The sequence below is a fragment of the Homo sapiens genome, chromosome 6 (assembly GCF_000001405.40).
Source record: "Homo sapiens chromosome 6, GRCh38.p14 Primary Assembly".
NCBI lineage: Eukaryota > Metazoa > Chordata > Mammalia > Primates > Hominidae > Homo > Homo sapiens.
The window spans coordinates 41,602,983-41,620,566 of NC_000006.12; the positions used below are offsets into that span (position 1 = coordinate 41,602,983).

The 17,584-nt window shown below is 48.0% G+C and overlaps 1 annotated feature.

The window, feature by feature from the left end:
• Window positions 89-383: an enhancer, noted in NCBI's record as "tiled region #5412; HepG2 Activating DNase unmatched - State 4:PromP, and K562 Activating DNase matched - State 12:CtcfO". NCBI's record gives its function as "activates a minimal TATA promoter and a strong SV40 promoter by Sharpr-MPRA in HepG2 and K562 cells {active_cell/tissue: HepG2 | K562}" and the evidence as "EXISTENCE:reporter gene assay evidence [ECO:0000049][PMID:27701403]".

The following is a 17,584-nucleotide window of genomic DNA, read 5'->3' on the forward strand; positions in this document are numbered from 1 at the left end:
CAGCCAGGGAGTAGGCTGTTAACTGCAGCTGGCAGCTTGTCCTGGTCTTAGCATTGCTGAGCCCTGTTGGGGAAGCTATCTTTGGAACCTGGGGAAAAAAAAAAGAGAAATACTCCAAGCCGGACGTTTTAGGGGTGGGATAAGTAGCGCTCTGCGCTCTGCATCCGACAGAAGTCCCCCTTCCCCTTGGCACTCAGCACTTCGCTCCCCCACCATGAACTCGCCACCTTGCCCAAGGCCTTCTTGCCGATGGTCAGCAGAGGGCGCTTTAAACAAAGCAGACCGGCTCCTCTGGACAAACTTGCCTGTTTCCGGGGCACAGAACAACTTCCCTGAGAATGCCAGCCGCCGTACAGCGGAGGGCTCAGTACCTGTTTTTAATAGTAATAATTATTAACAGTTAATGAGCCCTCATTATGTGCCAGGCACTATCCTAGAAGCTTTATATTTCATTTCATCCCCAAAACGACTCTGAGTTAGGTATTATTATCCCCATTTTATAGATGAAGAGACTGAGGCAGAGTCAAAGAGATGAGCAGATAAAGCATTAAGAATAAAGAATCTTTGCAGATGAGCAATCCGGGTTCTGGGTTTAAAAAAAAAAATGAACCTGTGGCTGACGGTGGGGAAAGAGAAGAGGGAGACCCTGTGGTTTGCCCCTGCTTTCTAGTGACACGATTTACTTTGGTGATCGCTGCTTCCCTCCTTCTCTGGAGGCTCCGAGTGGGGAAATGAGGCTCCGAGCGCCTCGAAGCTGGGAATTAGGCCCTGGCTTCTGAGTTCCCCAGCTGCCATTCTACTCTAAGCAGAATAAGGTAAATTGATCTTGAAACAGTCACTGAAGGACAGAGTGAGGCAGAGAAGTCTGAATTACCCTATAAAAATAATCAGACAGGGGCCCTTCTGATGGGACGGTGAGGCAGAGCAGTGCAGACAAAGATCCCCCTGTCTGTGGTGGGGACTTTAAAATGACACCCCTCATGCACAGCACACACCTTCACACACACATGCACATGCTACTACCCGATATACTGACACCAGAGGTCCCTTCCATCTGCAGTCATCTCTAGGTGACCAGAAATGGACCCCCAGGGTGGGACATCCCACCACACAGAACCCCCGACACCTCACTGGCCTGCAGTCTGCATCCGCCTCAGGATCAAAAGTTTAGAAAAACAGCCCCTCCTGAGAAGGCAGTCATGGTGGCAGCCCAGGCTGAAAGGCCCTCTGTCCTAGCCAGGAGGGGCCAGGGACAGGGCGTGGGGGCTGGCAACCTTCAGAAGACTGGCTGAATTAACAGGGACAGTGCAGTGGTGGGCTGGGTAACCAAGCTGGCACTCTGGGCTTCTGGCCCTGGCCCTCCCACGAGGGCCTCTCCTGCTCTGGGACCTGGAATGCAGGCCTGTCTATACAAGGCCACCATGCTTGGGCTCCAGGAGTGGGCCAGGTACAGGGGGTAAGGGTGGGTGGTCACCAGAGAAACACAGGGTGGGTCTCTGTTCTCTGAGAGCTGCTTCTCTGGCTGGGAAACAGATGGAGATCAGCCGACTGTCATGTGCTGTGAGGGAGTAAACACAAGGGTTCAAATCCTGGCTCTGCTGCTTGCCAGGTCTGTGGCATTGGGAAAGCCACTGGACCTCTCTGGGCCTCAGAGTTCTCATTTGTAGAATGGGGTGGAGTAATAATCTCTACATCACTGGCTTGTTGAGAAGATTAATGATATATAAAAAGATGTCTGGGCCGGGTGCGGTGGCTCACGCCTGTAATCCCAGCACTTTGGGAGGCCAAGGTGGGTGGATCACGAGGTCAGGAGATCAAGACCATCCTGGCTAACAAGGTGAAACCCCGTCTCTACTAAAAATACAAAAAATTAGCCGGGCGCGGTGGCGGGCGCCTGTAGTCCCAGCTACTCGGGAGGCTGAGGCAGGAGAATGGCGTGAACCCGGGAAGCGGAGCTTGCAGTGAGCCGAGATTGCACCACTGCAGTCCGCAGTCCGGCCTGGGCGACAGAGCGAGACTCCGTCTCAAAAAAAAAAAAAAAAAAAAAAAGATGTCTGGTGCATAATATGCCCTCAATACATAATGGCTGTTAATAAAATGGAGTCCTGGGTGCCAGTCACCATAGGGGCTCAGAGGGACCTAAGTGCTTACTGGGGACCAGTGTATCCTGGAAGACTCCCTGGAAGAGTTCTGGAGCTGAGGAGGGGAAATTTGGGTAGAAAGAGGGGAGAAGAAAGAACATTCTAGGCCTGCAGGGGAACTGAGATGGAGCTTAGGGAAGGTTAATGTGGAAGAAAACAAAAAATTAAATGGAGGCAGCAGAGACAGAGGCCGAGGCAAGGAGGTCAACAGGGTCTTAGAAACCTGGCCCCGGGGCCGGGCGCGGTGGCTCACGCCTGTAATCCCAGCACTTTGGGAGGCCAAGGTGGGCGGATCACAAGGTCAGGAGATGGAGACCATCCTGGCTAACACGGTGAAACCCCGTCTCTACTAAAAATACAAAAAATTAGCCAGGCGTGGTCGCGGGCGCCTGTAGTCCCAGCTACTCAGGAGGCTGAGGCAGGAGAATGGCGTGAACCCGGGAGGTGGAGCTTGCAGTGAGCCGAGATTGTGCCACTGCAGTCCAGCCTGGGCAACAGAGCGAGACTCCGTCTAAAAAAAAAAAAAAAGAAACCTGGCCCCATCCCTGTCATTACCAACTGACTGGCCCTGGGCTTTGGGCAGGTGAATTGGGGTGTGGTTTCCTATAAAGTGGCCCTAGGACTCCCTGACTACTCAGAAGGTTAAGGGGAGAATTACCCGACTTGGTGGCATGAGCATGCCCACACCTGCTAATGCCAGTAAGTGGCGATGCTGCTGCTGCTGTTGATGCCACTGGGGAGTTTCCATCCACAGAGGGACTGTCTTGGACTTAAATAGGTACTTCACAGGTGTGGCAGGGGCCAGTGAGTGGTGCTGTGACCTTCAGAGGTGTGCAGAGCAGAGCCATAGAGATTCGACTTAGCAGGAAAGTTTGCAAGGCAGGGGATAGCTGAAAACACACAGGTGGACTGGGCAGGACACCTGGGGACAGCCAGGAAGGCTGGACAGGGAGACTGGGTTACTGGGAGGTGATAGTGGAAAGGCAGGCACCAGACAGGGGAGGACCCCGGAGGTCAAGCTGGGGACCAAGCTGGGGCTTGGGGGAGCTGTGCCCACAGGGGCATTTAGAGCAGAGAAGTAACAGGATTGACCTGAGATTGGGGGAATAGGCCAAGTGGAACCATATAGGGTGACAGGAGCCAATTAGGTGACTCTTGGGATTGTCCAGGTGACAGATGATGAAGGCCTAAGTAGGGTGGGGGGTTGCTTTGGAAAATAGTGTCAGGAGGCTTTTTGCAAAACAACAGAGTAAAAGAGGGGCTGTTGGCTACCTGAGAGAAAGGAGGTCAGGAACGAGCTCAACGGGGTCTTCCTAAATGTCTATTCGCAGGAGAGAGGGAAATCAAGTGTGGCACATTTGACAATGGAATATTATATTGCAAAGAGAATAAATAAAGAGCTCCCATCAGCAGGGTAAATTTGAGCAAAAAAAAAAAAAGTAAGTTGAAGAAAGATACATAGAGACTGTTCTCATTTGTATAATGTTTGAAAACATGTAATAATTCTATATATCATGTATGGGCACACATGTAGCAAACATTTAAATAATTTGTAGGAATGATAAATAACAAATTCAAGATGGTGGCTGTCACTCTGGGGAGGGGGATGCAATGGGGAGGAGTATTCAAGGGGCTTCAAGTCTGTTGGTAATGGTTAGTATTGGAGCTGGGTGGTGGGAACACAGAGGTTAAATCTGTTCTTCTCTGTACCTTTTTGTGGCTGGAATATTTCACTTAAAAATAAAAAAAGAATGGGCCAGGTGCAGTGGCTCATGCCTGTAATCCCAGCACTTTGGGAGGCTGAGGTGGGCAGATCACCTGAGGTCGGAGTTCGGGACCACCCAGACTAACATGGTGAAACCCGTCTCTACTAAAAATGCAAAAATTTGCCGGGCGCACCTGTAATCCCAGCTACTCGGGAGGTTGAGGTGGGAGAATTGCTTGAACCCGGGAGGCGGAGGCTCCAGTGAGCTGAGATCGTGCCACTGCACTCCAGCCTGGGCAAGAGAGTGAGACCCTGCCTTTAAATAAATAAATATATAAATAAATAAATAAATAAATAAATAAATAAATAAATAAAGGGGGGATTTAATAAATAAATCAATAAATAAAAGAAGAATGGCCCCAAGATTTGGGGTCCGTGCCACAGGAATAATTCTTATCCTCTCAGCCCCTGTGGGCTCAAGACAAGCAAGGGAAAAGATAAAATGTTAAAGGGGTTTGCAGGGGTGGCAGGACATCAAGTGGCTCCCATGCCCAGGACTGGACAGATGGAAATTGGCAAAGCACATCTGGGCCCACATCTGGTGGTGGGGCAGGAGATGTGGCCACAAAGGAAGGTGGGGATAGTCCGGGGATGGCAAGGAAGGAGAACCACAAGAGAGGGCAGTCCTGAGGGTTCACTGTGACAGAGGCCAAAGGGTTCCCAAAATTCGAGGCCTGGGAGCTGCTTCCATGGACTTGGCAACTGGAAGCTTCTGATGCCCTAGGACAGAATAGTTTCTAAGAAGAGTGAGGGCAGAATGGTGGGTTAGGGCAGCGGTCCCCAACCTTTTTGGCACCAGGGACTGGTTTCGTGGAAGACAATTTTTCCATGGACCAGGGTGGGGGTGAGGGGATAGTTTCGGGATGAAACTGTTCCACTTCAGATCATCAGCCATTAGATTCTCATAAGGAGCACACAGTCTAGATCCCTTGCATGCACAGGTCACAATAGACTTCACACTCCTGTGAGAATCTAGTGCCACCGCTGAGCTGACAGAGGCGGAGCTCGGGTGGTTATGCTCCCTTGTCAGCCGCTCCCCTCCTGCTGTGCGGCCCAGTTCCTAGCAGGCCACGGAGCAGGTCCACGGCCTGGGGGTTGGGGACTCCTGGGTTAGGGAGTCTGTATGTGGAGGGCAAGTAGAGGCACAGGTGTACGTCTCTCTTTCAGTGAGTTTAGTAAGCAGCAAAGGGAGAGAGAGAGGAGACCCCCAGAGGTTGAGAGGAGGTGGGACATAGCCAAGGAATGTCAAGAAAATGTTTTATTATTAATTTTCTCAGCAGTGATGGTTATATGTGCCTCAGTGTATTTTTAAGGAGCATGGGGCCGGGTATGATGGCTCATGCCTGTAATCCCAGCACTTTGGGAGGCTGAGGCGGGTGGATCACTTGAGGTCAGGAGTTCGAGACCAGTCTGGCCAACATGGCGAAACCCTGTCTCTACTAAAAATACAAAAAAAAAAAAAAAAGCCTGGCATGGTGGTGTGCGCCTCTAGTCCCAGCTACTCGGGAGGCTGAGGCATGAGAATAACTTGAACTCAGGCAGCATAGGTTGCAGACAGAGCGAGACTCTGTCTCAATTAAAAAAAAAAAAAAAGCAAGGGAAAAGGCAGAATGGGCTCAGATTATATACCTCTTTATGAGTGCATACATGAGCCAGCCCTTCTCCAGCAGACTCAGCAGTTCCCCTGGTTCTGATGTCTCCTTCCTTGTTATCTCCCCGAGAACTCAGGAACAGGGGACCCCTTCTGGGAAGGGCAGCCTAGAAACAGTCATGGGACTCACAGCTGGCAGTGGGAAGTCAAGAGCGGGTGGGAATCCCATCCCCAAGCAGAGGCCTGGGCTTGGTGACACTGAAGGAGGGTATGAGGCGGTTCAGGGGCTCCTCAATAGTTAAGACAAAGGCGGCTCTGGCAGATGGGCCGCAGTGTGGAGCACCTGTGTGAACAGGAGGCAAGGGAGGTGGCAGGGAACACAGGGCTGGCCTGCCTGTTAGACCTGCTAAGGCCTTCACCCCAGGAGCCTTCTCACCTCCCTGCACCCCTCCTCTATTGCAGTCGCCACCCCCACCCAACCACTACACCATTCACACAAGTTTCTCTCCTACTTCTTCCGTGGAATTCCTTCCTCATCCTTCTCTTGCTTCCTGCTTTGCAAAGACTGCTCAGCTGTCATTGGCTGTCCCCGGGTGCCCTCTCCCACAACCCGCTCTGGTCCTCAGCTGTCACACCTTTGCCACGACCCACCCCCAGCTTCCTGACTTTGCTTCCGCATTGGAGAATCACCCCAAACTGACGTGTGTATCTTTCCCTATCCCAGAGCGCACCCAGTCAATCCACAAACCTTTATTGAGCATCGATTCTACACCCAGCCTGGGGCTGGGTGTTACAGGTAATATGGAAAGCAATGAGTAGGCACAGGCCCTACCCTGAGGGGCTAACAGAGCAGCTGGAAAAAGAACACTGATAGGTTGTCCGGGCGCAGTGGCTCACACATGTAATCCTAGCACATTGGGAGGCCGAGGCAGGCGGATCACTTGAGGTCAGGAGTTCAAAACCAGCCTGACCAACATGGCCAAACCCTATCTCTACTAAAAAAAAAATATTTAAAAAAATTAGATGTGGTGGCAGGCACCTGTAATCCCAGCTACTGGGGAGGCTGAGGCAGGAGAATCAGCTGGCCGACAGAGCAAGACTCCGTCTAAAAAAATTTAAAAATTAAAAAAAAAAAGAAAGAAAGAAAATAACACCGATATGTAAAGAAGTAAAATAAGTCAAGATAAGGCCCCATACAAAAGAATATGCTTGACTCCCTTCTGCTGTAAGCACTCCCCATATAGAAAAGGGTCTTCTTATGACACTCCCAAGGAGTTTAATTTTACAAAAGTCTTTCCCATAAAAATTGTTATTAATATGGTGACAGAGAAGGCAGCTGCATAGAAAAGAATAGAAAGCAACAAATTATGAAGTATAACCGAGGTTAATCATTCATACATTCAAAATTTATTGAGAACTTTCTGCATACAAGGCACCAAGCTGAGCTCTGAAAGTACAAGATGAATAAGACACAGTCTGTCTCCTCAAAGAACTCCAAACAGATACATATATAAGCAGAAGAATGACATATATATATATGAAGCTTATAGATATAGACAGATATATAAGCAGAAGAATGACAATACAACATTCAGTTTGGGGATGGGAACCCAGAAAAGGATGTGTGCAACTTCCCTGGGGTAACCTGGGAAACTTCACACCAGGGAAGCACTTGAGCTGGATGTTGAGAGGTGCCTGAGCAGAGAGGACAGCACGTGAAGGGCACAGCGTCTGAAAGGAGCTGATCTGTTCAGAGTGCCCGTGTCCAGCAGTCATGGTAGGAGAATTAGGCCCAGAGACATAGATTGGAGTCAGATTATGGAAAATCACTGGCCTGACTCAGAACTTTGGACTTTTTACTCTAGACGAAATATTTTGTCTAGTATTTGGCCGGGCACAGTGGCTCACGCCTGTAATCCCAACGTTTTGAGAGACCAAGGTGGGCGGATTGCCCGAGGTCAAGAGTTCAAAACCAGCCTGGCCAACGTGGTGAAGCCCCCGTCTCTACTAAAAATGCAAAAACTAGCCGGGCGTGGTGGCGGGTGCCTGTAATCCCAGTTACTTGGGAGGCTGAGGTAGGAGAATTGCTTGAACCCAGGAGACAGAGGTTGCAGTGAGCTGAGATCACGCCACTGCACTCCAGCCTGGGCGACAGAGCGAGACTCTGTCTCAAAATAAATAAATAAATAAATAAATAAATAAATAAATAAATAAAAATAAAAACTATATTTTTGAGTGGAGGAATGATATGATCATGATTTTTTTTTTATAAGAGGCATTTGTAGATTAGATGTGAGGGGGACAAGCTTGAAAATCAACAGGCCATTCATTCAGGCCTGGGTGTGAGAAGCTGGATGGGGGTGGTGGCTGTGAACAGAGAGGAAGGGAAATGGAAGGGATGCCCCACCCACAAAGGAAGAGAAGAGGTGAGACTGGTTCCACAGGTGGGAGGCAAAAAAAACAAAGATATACAGGGAAACTATGGCTTTCAGCCTTAGGTAACGGAGTGGCAGAAGCCACTGGCGGAAGTCAGGATATACGGAGCAGAAACTCGATTTGTAGTACACGATGAGAGGATTGGTCTGGGTCAAGTTGAATTTGAGGTGACATCAGAAAACCCAATGGGAGCAGCCTCTAATAAACATGGCAGATTGAGCTCATGCACTTTCCTTCATGCCGTCCTGGAGCCCTACTGAGCTACAGTAGAGGGATTTTTCTTTTAAGGAATAGCCTCAGAGAGACAAATAGAACCAGACTGGAGACAACAGCAACACATTCTGGAACCCTTGGAGAGGATAGGCAGAGACAGCTGAGTCCTAAGGCAGCATGAGAAGAGCTGAGAGGCAGCCCACCCTGCATGTGGCCCTCCCCACCAAGGCTCAGGGACTGTTGGCTGGCACTGGGTACTTCTAGAAGTGGAGGTAATGGCCAGGCACAGTGGCTCACACCTGTAATCCCAGCACTTTGGGAGGCCAAGGCAGGCAGATCACTTAAGGTCAGGAGTTCAAGACCAGCCTGTCCAACATGGTGAGACCCCATCTCTACTAAAACTACAAACATTAGTTGGGTGTGGTGGTGCACGCCTGTAGTCCCAGCTACTTGGGAGGCTGAAGCAAGAGAATCGCTTGAACCTGAGAGGCGGAGGTTGCAGTGAGCCAAAATCGTGCCACTGCACTCCAGCCTGGGTGACAGAGCAAGACTCTGTCTCAAAAAGGAAAAAAAGGAAAAGAAGTGGGAGTAATGGCAAATCTTTAACCAAGTAAATGACAAGTGGTTGCCAGGGACTGGAGGGGAGGGAAGGATGAATGGGCAGAGCACAGAGGATTATAGGACAGGGAAAATACCCTGGGTGATACTATAATGGTGGGTACATGCCATTATACATTTGTCCACACCCACAGAATGTACACCAAGAATGAACTGCTGTGGACTTTGGGTGACAACGATGGTCAGTGTAGGTCCAGAGATTGTAACAAACGTACCACTCCAGCGGGGACGTTAATCATGGAAGAGGCTGTGCATGTGTGGGGTAGGGGGTGTATGGGAATTCTCTGTACTTTCCACTCAATTTTGCTGTGAAGCTAAAACTGCTCTAAAAAAAAAAAGCCTTTTTTTTGAGACAGAATCTCACTCTGTCACCCAAGATGGAGTGCAGTGATGCAATCTTGGCTCACTGCAACCTCCGCTTCCTGGGTTCAAGCGATTCTCCTGCCTCAGCCTCCCAAGTAGCTGGGATTACAGGCATGCACCACCGCGCCCAGCTGATGTTTGTATTTTTGGTAGAGACGGGGTTTCACCATGTTGGTCAGGCTGGTCTCAAACTCCTGACCTCAGGTGATCCACCTGCCTCGGCCTGCCAAAGTGCTGGGATTACAGGCGTGAGCCACCATGCTCTGACAAGCCTATTTTTTTTTAAAAGAAAAAAAGAAAAATCAGGCAAACTGGTTGAAAGTCAGTTTAGGGAGTAGTGAGTCCTCCAGACCCCCTACCCCACTCTGCCACTCCGTACAGGCAGGCCTCTTCTCCTCCCCATACCATGGCAGATGATGGGAGATGAATATTCTGGAGGGGTAGAGGGTCTTTGGGCTGGGAGATACTGATGTGGTTGAAGCAGGGACACTCCAGGGGGATTGAGAGCCATAGACATCAAGGGTTCCCAAAGGTCAGGTCAGCAAGGCCCACTCGCAGACACAGAGCTTTTAGAATCCTATTCTTCAATAAAAATGCAAGGACCAACAGAGATATGAGTAGAACACCTAATATGAAAAACAGAAATAAAAACAGACAAAAAGCAACACAGAGGATATTACTAAGCAGATAGAGGAAAACTTAAAAATCACTTATTCTTAAGGAGATGTGATATCGCATTCATGAAATAAGATGAAGTTACAAAAATGAACATTCCAAGAACAAAATGAGGTCTTAGAAATTAAAAATATGGGCCGGGCGCGGTGGCTCACGCCTGTAATCCCAGCACTTTGGGAGGCCGAGGCGGGTGGATCATGAGGTCAGGAGATCGAGACCTTCCTGGCTAACAAGGTGAAACCCCGTCTCTACTAAAAATACAAAAAATTAGCCGGGCGCGGTGGCGGGCGCCTGTAGTCCCAGCTACTCGGGAGGCTGAGGCAGGAGAATGGCGTGAACCCGGGAAGCGGAGCTTGCAGTGAGCCGAGATTGCGCCACTGCAGTCCGCAGTCCGACCTGGGCGACAGAGCGAGACTCCGTCTCAAAAAAAAAAAAAAAAAAAAAAAAAGAAATTAAAAATATGATAGCAGAAATGAAAACTACAGCAGGAAGGCTGGAAGTCAAAGAGATTTTCCACAAAGTACAGCAAATAAAACAGCAGCAAACGGAAACAGAAGAGAAAAAATAAAATTAGAGGACCAGTTCAGGAGGTCCAACATCTAAATAATAGGAGGCCTATAAAGAGAGAATCAGGAAAGAGAAAACTCCTAAGTAACTTAAAACCATGCCCCAGAATTGATCAACATGAGTTTCTATCTTGTCTAACTGAATGGGTCAAAGTGTGTGTAAAAATGTACCTTCACCAAAGCACATCATCAAGGAATTCAGAACATGGCAGACAAGAGACGATCCTACAAACACCTGGAGCACATTAAAAACAGTATTGGAATGTACAACACTGTCATAGAAAATAATGGAACATTGCCTTTGAAGCTCTAAGAGAAAATTGTTTCCAAGCTAAAATGCCATGCTCTGCCAAACTATTAATTAAGTGCAGGATAAAAACATGTTGAGACATGCAAATTCCCAAAATGCAGCTCCACTCACCACTTCTCACAATAGGGGGGTGAAGGATGTGTTCCACCAAAAACAAGAAAAGGGAAGCAGAGGATGGGCATAAGGAAGAGGTTAGAGGACCCCAACCCGGGAGGAAAGAGCTACGAGGCCAGAACAAAGAAGGCAAAGGCTCTGGAAGGGAGTTCCCGCAGAAGATGAAACTCACAGAATGCCTGACATGTGAACACACTGGTGAGATCTAGTGTACTATGGGGACGATTTGGGGTTGAATCCCTAATATGATAATAAAGAGAACTAAGCAAAATGTTGAAGGAAAAGTAATAATAACATACTATGTGGTTTAGCTGTACATGACAGTTAGTCTTAATAATGAAAACACAGAATCCTAATTTAACCAAAAGGATGGTGTAACCGTATTGGGAGTAGGGGAGACAGGCAGGGATTGCTGGGGGAAGGTTACAAGGGGGTGAGCGGGTGAAAGGGATTGAATCCACGTCTCATGGAGTGTGGGCTTAATGAGTACCTGAAACTGAAAAATCAAAAAGTAGCAATGCAAGTCTCTTTTCAACCCATATGATGCTGAAAATCAAAAGAATCCTCTAGAAGAACTGAAAGTGGCTGTGTCTAGGGAGCAGGCAGGAGAGGCAGGGGCAGTCAGGATGCTCCTGCCTTTCTTAGTAAGCTCAGTGGAACCAACTGATGATGCTCTCAACCCGGTCCGGAGCTCTCTGGGTTGTCATTCCGTGCTTACTCATCTGTGTGTCCTCCAGAAGGTGAGAGCCACTAGGACAGGGACCAGACCCCTTCATCCTGTGGCCCACCACCTAGCCCAGAACCTGGCGGACTGCAATTACACATTTGTGGAATGAATCATTGCAGGTTCAAGCTAGAAGAGAACTTTCATTGCAACCCTATCATTTTACAGGTTAGAAAACTGAGGCCCACAGAGTAGAAATGACATGTTCCCCAATGCTCAGGTGGTGAGTTAGACAAGCAGCTCTCTTGGGGAGAGGACTTAAAGAGAGAGAACAGAGAGAACAAGAGGAGGGAAGATGAAGCCATCCAGAAGGAGGAGGTATTAGAGAGGCTCAGGTGGCTCCTAACGGAATTGTGTAACATCGCCCAAGCCTCTCAAGAGAACAGCATTCCACAGAAGAGGAGGTAGCCACCTGGGGCCCACCAGGGGACTCCTCCCTCTGAGGCCCCACTGGAGCTAAAAGTTTAAGAACACACCCCATGGCTGCAATCCAGGGCTCAGGAAGCTGCTACTGCTGCCCCAAACCCTCCTGTCAACACCCAGCAAACTCCAGAATGGATCCTGGAATGTTGTTGCAGAAACACTTCACATCTCCACCACCTCACCTGGGAACAAAAGCTGCGAAAGGGGCAAGAAAGTGGCCTCTGCTTTGCTTCTGCCTTCCAAACACCACCAAAGGTATGACATTATCTACCTAAATCCTTATGGAAAGGAAGTTTTGAACAATGCTGCTTTCAGTGTTCCAACATTTCCGGGGAAGTATGGACCAGAGATTGAACGACACTTCAGATTCTACCACACCCTCTGTTGTATTCATGCCTTCCCTTCCATCTGAACCTCTGTCCCAGGCAACTGCTCCAGAAACTTCCCTTTTCTTCTGAGGCCTCCGAAGGAATGCCCGCCAGCACACTGGTAAATTCATGCAAAAAGATGCCCAGAGGGGCCCCTAGTCAACCAGTTCTGCATATAGCTCAACTCGGAGTCCCAGTGTGGCTTAGCGAGGACACCCTGCTTGACTTGCTTGGGGACATATTAGCATGCTGAACAGTCAAACTTATCCCTCCCCTCTCACCCACCAGAGAGCGTCCAGCTAATCCAGAGGGAGGAGGGATTTCAGGGTCAGCTTGGTGACCCAAGAAGCATGTTGGGCGGGATGCCTGAGTCTGAGACAGAAAAGGCTGAGGGGAGCCGAGAGTTCAAGAGAAAGGAAGCAGATGACGCTTTCCCCAAAGGGAGTCTGACGTGATCCCTCAGCTCATGGAATCCAGCGGTTACCCTTCTGAGCCTTGGTTTTCTCATCTGTAAAGTGGAGCTGGAGATAACACTCTCATAACACAAATAAATGATAAATGATTGAGATGATGGATATGCTAATTATTCTGATTTGATCACTACACATCATATGCATGTATCAAAATATCACTCTGTATCCAGTAAATATGTACAATTATTACATGTCAACTAAAATTTAAAAACTACAACAAAGAAATGTTTATTTGTGCAGTTTCTACGCCAAAAACTCCTCAAACTTCAAACAAGAACGTGACCAATTTTATATGATCATATCAAACAGTCTCCCTTATTTTTAGAGCAGAATGAGTCAATGGATTTAATTTAGCAAATGGCCGGGGCGGGGGATGTTTAAAATAATTTTATTATAAAATTTTCATATTAAAAAAAGATAACACTCTCATAGGAATGTTGTGGGGAACATTGTGTTGTAAAAAAATAACACTTGGAAAGCTCTACAAAGTGCAAAAATCACTTTCAAATGTGGTGACTTAAAACAGCAGCTAGAGCCGACCTGTCCGGGAGGTGAGGGGCGCCTCTGCCCGGCCGCCCCTACCGGGAAGTGAGGAGCCCCTCTGCCCAGCCAGCCGCCTCGTCCGGGAAGGAGGTGGGGGGGTCAGCCCCGGCCAGCCGCCCCGTCTGGGAGGGAGGTGGGGGGGTCAGCCCCCGGCCCGGCCAGCCGCCCCGTCCGGGAGGTGAGGGGCGCCTCTGCCCGGCCGCCCCTACTGGGAAGTGAGGAGCCCCTCTGCCCGGCCAGCCGCCCCGTCCGGGAGGGAGGTGGGGGGGACAGCCCCCCGCCCGGCCAGCCGCCCCACCCGGGGAGGTGAGGGGCGCCTCTGCCCGGCCGCCCCTACTGGGAAGTGAGGAGCCCCTCTGCCCGGCCACCACCCCGTCTGGGAGGTGTACCCAGCAGCTCATTGAGAACGGGCCATGATGACAATGGCGGTTTTGTGGAGTAGAAAGGGGGGAAAGGTGGGGAAAAGATTGAGAAATCGGATGGTTGCCGTGTCTGTGTAGAGAGAGGTAGACATGGGAGACTTTTCATTTTGCTCTGTACTAAGAAAAATTCTTATCCTGTTGATCTGTGACCTTAACCCCAACCCTGTGCTCTCTGAAACATGTGCTGTGTCCACTCAGGGTTAAATGGATTAAGGGCGGTGCAAGATGTGCTTTGTTAAACAGATGCTTGAAGGCAGCATGCTCGTCAAGAGTCATCACCACTCCCTAATCTCAAGTACCCAGGGACACAAACACTGCGGAAGGCTGCAGGGTCCTCTGCCTAGGAAAACCAGAGACCTTTGTTCACTTGTTTATCTGCTGACCTTCCCTCCACTATTGTCCTATGACCCTGCCAAATCCCCCTCTGCGAGAAACACCCAAGAATGAACAATAAAAAAAAAAAAAAAAAATTCAGGCCAGGTGCAGTGGCTCATGCCTGTAATCCCAGCACTTTGGAGGACTGAGGTGGGCAGATCACCTGAGGTCAGGAGTTCGAGACCAGCCTGGCCAACATGGTGAAACCCTGTCTTTACTAAAAATACAAAAAAAATTGGCTGAGTATGGCGCACACCTATATTCCCAGCTACTCAGGAGGCTGAAGCACGAGAATTGCTTGAAGCTGGGAGGTGGAGGTTGCAGTGAGCTAAGATCACCCCACTGCACTCCAGCCTGGGTGACAGAGTGAGGTTCCATCTCTAAATAAATAAATAAATAAAATAAAAATTTCAGCCCAATATATTAGGAACCCCATTTTAAATGCCACTGTAAACACAATTTATTTTATATCAACTTTAAATATGAAAGCTACACTCAAGTAAACCAAACAGCATATTACCTATGAATCTTTACATGTTCATTTAAAAATTTCAGCCCAATATATTAGGAACCCCATTTAAAATGCCATTGTAGTAAATGACAAGTTAGTAGAAAAAAAAAAAAACAGCAGCTAGGCTGGGCGTGGTGGCTCACGCTTGTAATCCCAGCACTTTGGGAGGACAAGTTGAGAGGATCACCTGAGGCCAGGAGTTCGAGACCAGCCTGGCCAACATGATGAAACCCCGTCTCTACTAAAAATACAAAAATTAGCCGGGCGTGGTGGCGGGTGCCTGTAATCCCAGCTACTCAGTAGGCTGAAGCAGGAGAATCCCTTGAACCCGGGAGGCGGAGGCTGCAGTAAGCCGAGATAGCGCCACTGCACTCCAGCCTGGATGACAGAGCGAGACTCCATCTAAAAAAACAAAAACAAAAACAAAAAAACAGCAGCTACCCATTATGTTTTGGCTGGCATTGCTCATTTGTTTGCATTCAGCTGGCCATTCAGCTGGGGTGGCTGGAAGGGGTGGAGGCTGGCTGACCTTCTTTCTCGAGCAGGGTGGACTGACTTCTTGTATGGTGGCCCAAGGCTCCAAGAGAATACAGGCAGAAGCAGCCAGGCCTCTTAAAGCCCAGGCTGGAACTGACACTGCAACACTTTTGGTGCGTTCTGTTGGTCAAAGCCAGTTCCAAGGCCAGCCCAGAATCAAGGGGAGGGGAAACAGCCTCTACCTCCTGGTAGGAGGAGTGACACGACCTAGGGAGAGGAGAAATTGTGGCTGTCTTTGAAAACAGCATACCCGGCATGTAAGTTTGGACAAGTGGTGGAAGCCTGGCTTGCCCAACTGGACTAGCACCCTCTCCCAGACTTTCCCAGACCACGCTGACTGTACCACTGGGGTCCTGAAGATGATTTGGTGGACCTTGGGAAGCAGCAAATTTGCATTTTGAATTCTCTTTCAATTCTTCTGACACCATCAAAGAGAATCATCTCAGCCTAGTGCAGCCTATCTGCAACGGCTCTCAAGCACCAGTGAATCGCTGGGTCAGAATTTAGCAGCATCTGGCAGCAAAAGTATTAAAATGTAGCACCTTGCTTTGTTTCCCCAGCATGCATTTTTAAGATTGCCAAGTGACACTGGCTTTCCATTCCTGAAGGCAGTAGGGAGTTAGCTAAATAAAGAGAGCCACTTCAACACAGGCATCAGAGCCCAAGGGCTGCTCAGCTCCAGGCTACAAGCTGTCTTCTGATAACACCCCTTTGTCCCCAGAGAAATAGTCAATACCCGCAGACCTCACACCCTTAATCTGTCCTCTTTACCACCCTCACCCATCAAACATTTCCTCCTCAATATTAAATTCCAGCCCCACAGAGCTTTTGTGGCATATTTGCAAGCCTCTTCCAGAAACTTCTCCATGCTGTACTCTCCCCAAACACTCTCCCCACTCTCTCTTCCCATGGAGGGTGGTGCAGTGGGTCCTGGGGCCAGAACACATGGGTAAAGTCCTGGGTCTATCACCTGCCGGGCACACCCCACCCCTCACATTTGCAGCCCAGGGCAAGAGTGCAAAGGAGCCTCCCAAAGGAGGCGTCTTGATAGTTAAGGGTTACAAATAAAGCTGTCCACCCATTACATAAACTATGTCCCAGCTTCCTAGCTGGCAAACATATCTTCCTAGTAACCAAAAAATACGTGTGTGTGTGCACATGCACCTGCAGAGCTAGGTTTTCATATGATAAAAGATAGCAAAATATAACAGTAATTGAATTTATTTATTTATTTATTTATTTATTTATTTATTTATTTATTTATTTATCGAGACAGGGTCTCACTCTGTTGTGCCAGGCTGGAGTACAGTGGTGTGATCTCAGCTCACTGCAACCTCTGCCTCCCCGGTTCAAGAGATTCTCGTGCCTCAGCCTCCCAAGTAGCTGGGACTATAGGCATGTGCCCCAACACCTGGCTAATTTTTGTATTTTTAACAGAGATGGGATTTTATCATGTTGGCCAGGCTGGTCTCAAACACCTGGCCTCAAGTGATCTTCCTGCCTTGGTCTCCCAAAGTGCTGGGATTACAGGTATAAGCCACGGCTCCGAGACTAAAATCACCGAATTTAATTAATACTGCATGTCTGTGGGTCCTCTTGTTGGGCTGTCAATGTTTGGATGAAAAATCAATAAAACATCTGTGATTCATGAGGTATAATATTGTCTTCTGTAACATTTCTTTTTCATGCTTTCATTTCAGTAAAATCAGGTATGTTTTTATAATCAAGATTTTCACGTAATTTATTAATAGTAATAATATAAAGATTAAAAATAAAATAATTGTGTTCAAAATATACATTTAAATGTATTATTATGAATGCATTTAAAGTAAATGTAATAAAATCAAAAATTAGAATCATTTACTTTAAAATATAAATTTTTTATTTTAAAATATTCAGCATTATCTATTACAATTGAAAAGGAAAAAATACAAATTATAATTGGTGAATACCAGTTAATTATTTGTCTGTACATGAATATCACACTGTAATTTTATGGTAAGTCTTGAAATCAGTTAGTGTTAGTCCTCCTATATATATTTAATAGAAACAGGGCCTCACTATGTTGCCTTATCTCAAAGTCCTGGGTTCAAGTGATCCTCCCACCTCCACCTTCCGAAGTGCTGGGATTAGCATCAGCCACCGTGCCCAGCCCATTTTTGAAAGGTGTTTTCACTGAGTATAGAAACCTAGCTTGACAATTTATTTTTTCTTTTGGTACTTTAAAGATATCTTCCCATTGTCCTATGGCTTCTTGCCATATATGTCCTATAGTTTCTTGCGAGAAATATATTGTCATTCTTTTTCTTTGTTTCTCTGTGTGAAATGCTTCTTTTCTCTTTGGCTCCTTATGCAAGTTGAAATACACAGGTTTTCCAAATACAATTCAATACCAAATACACTGGCTTTCAGAATT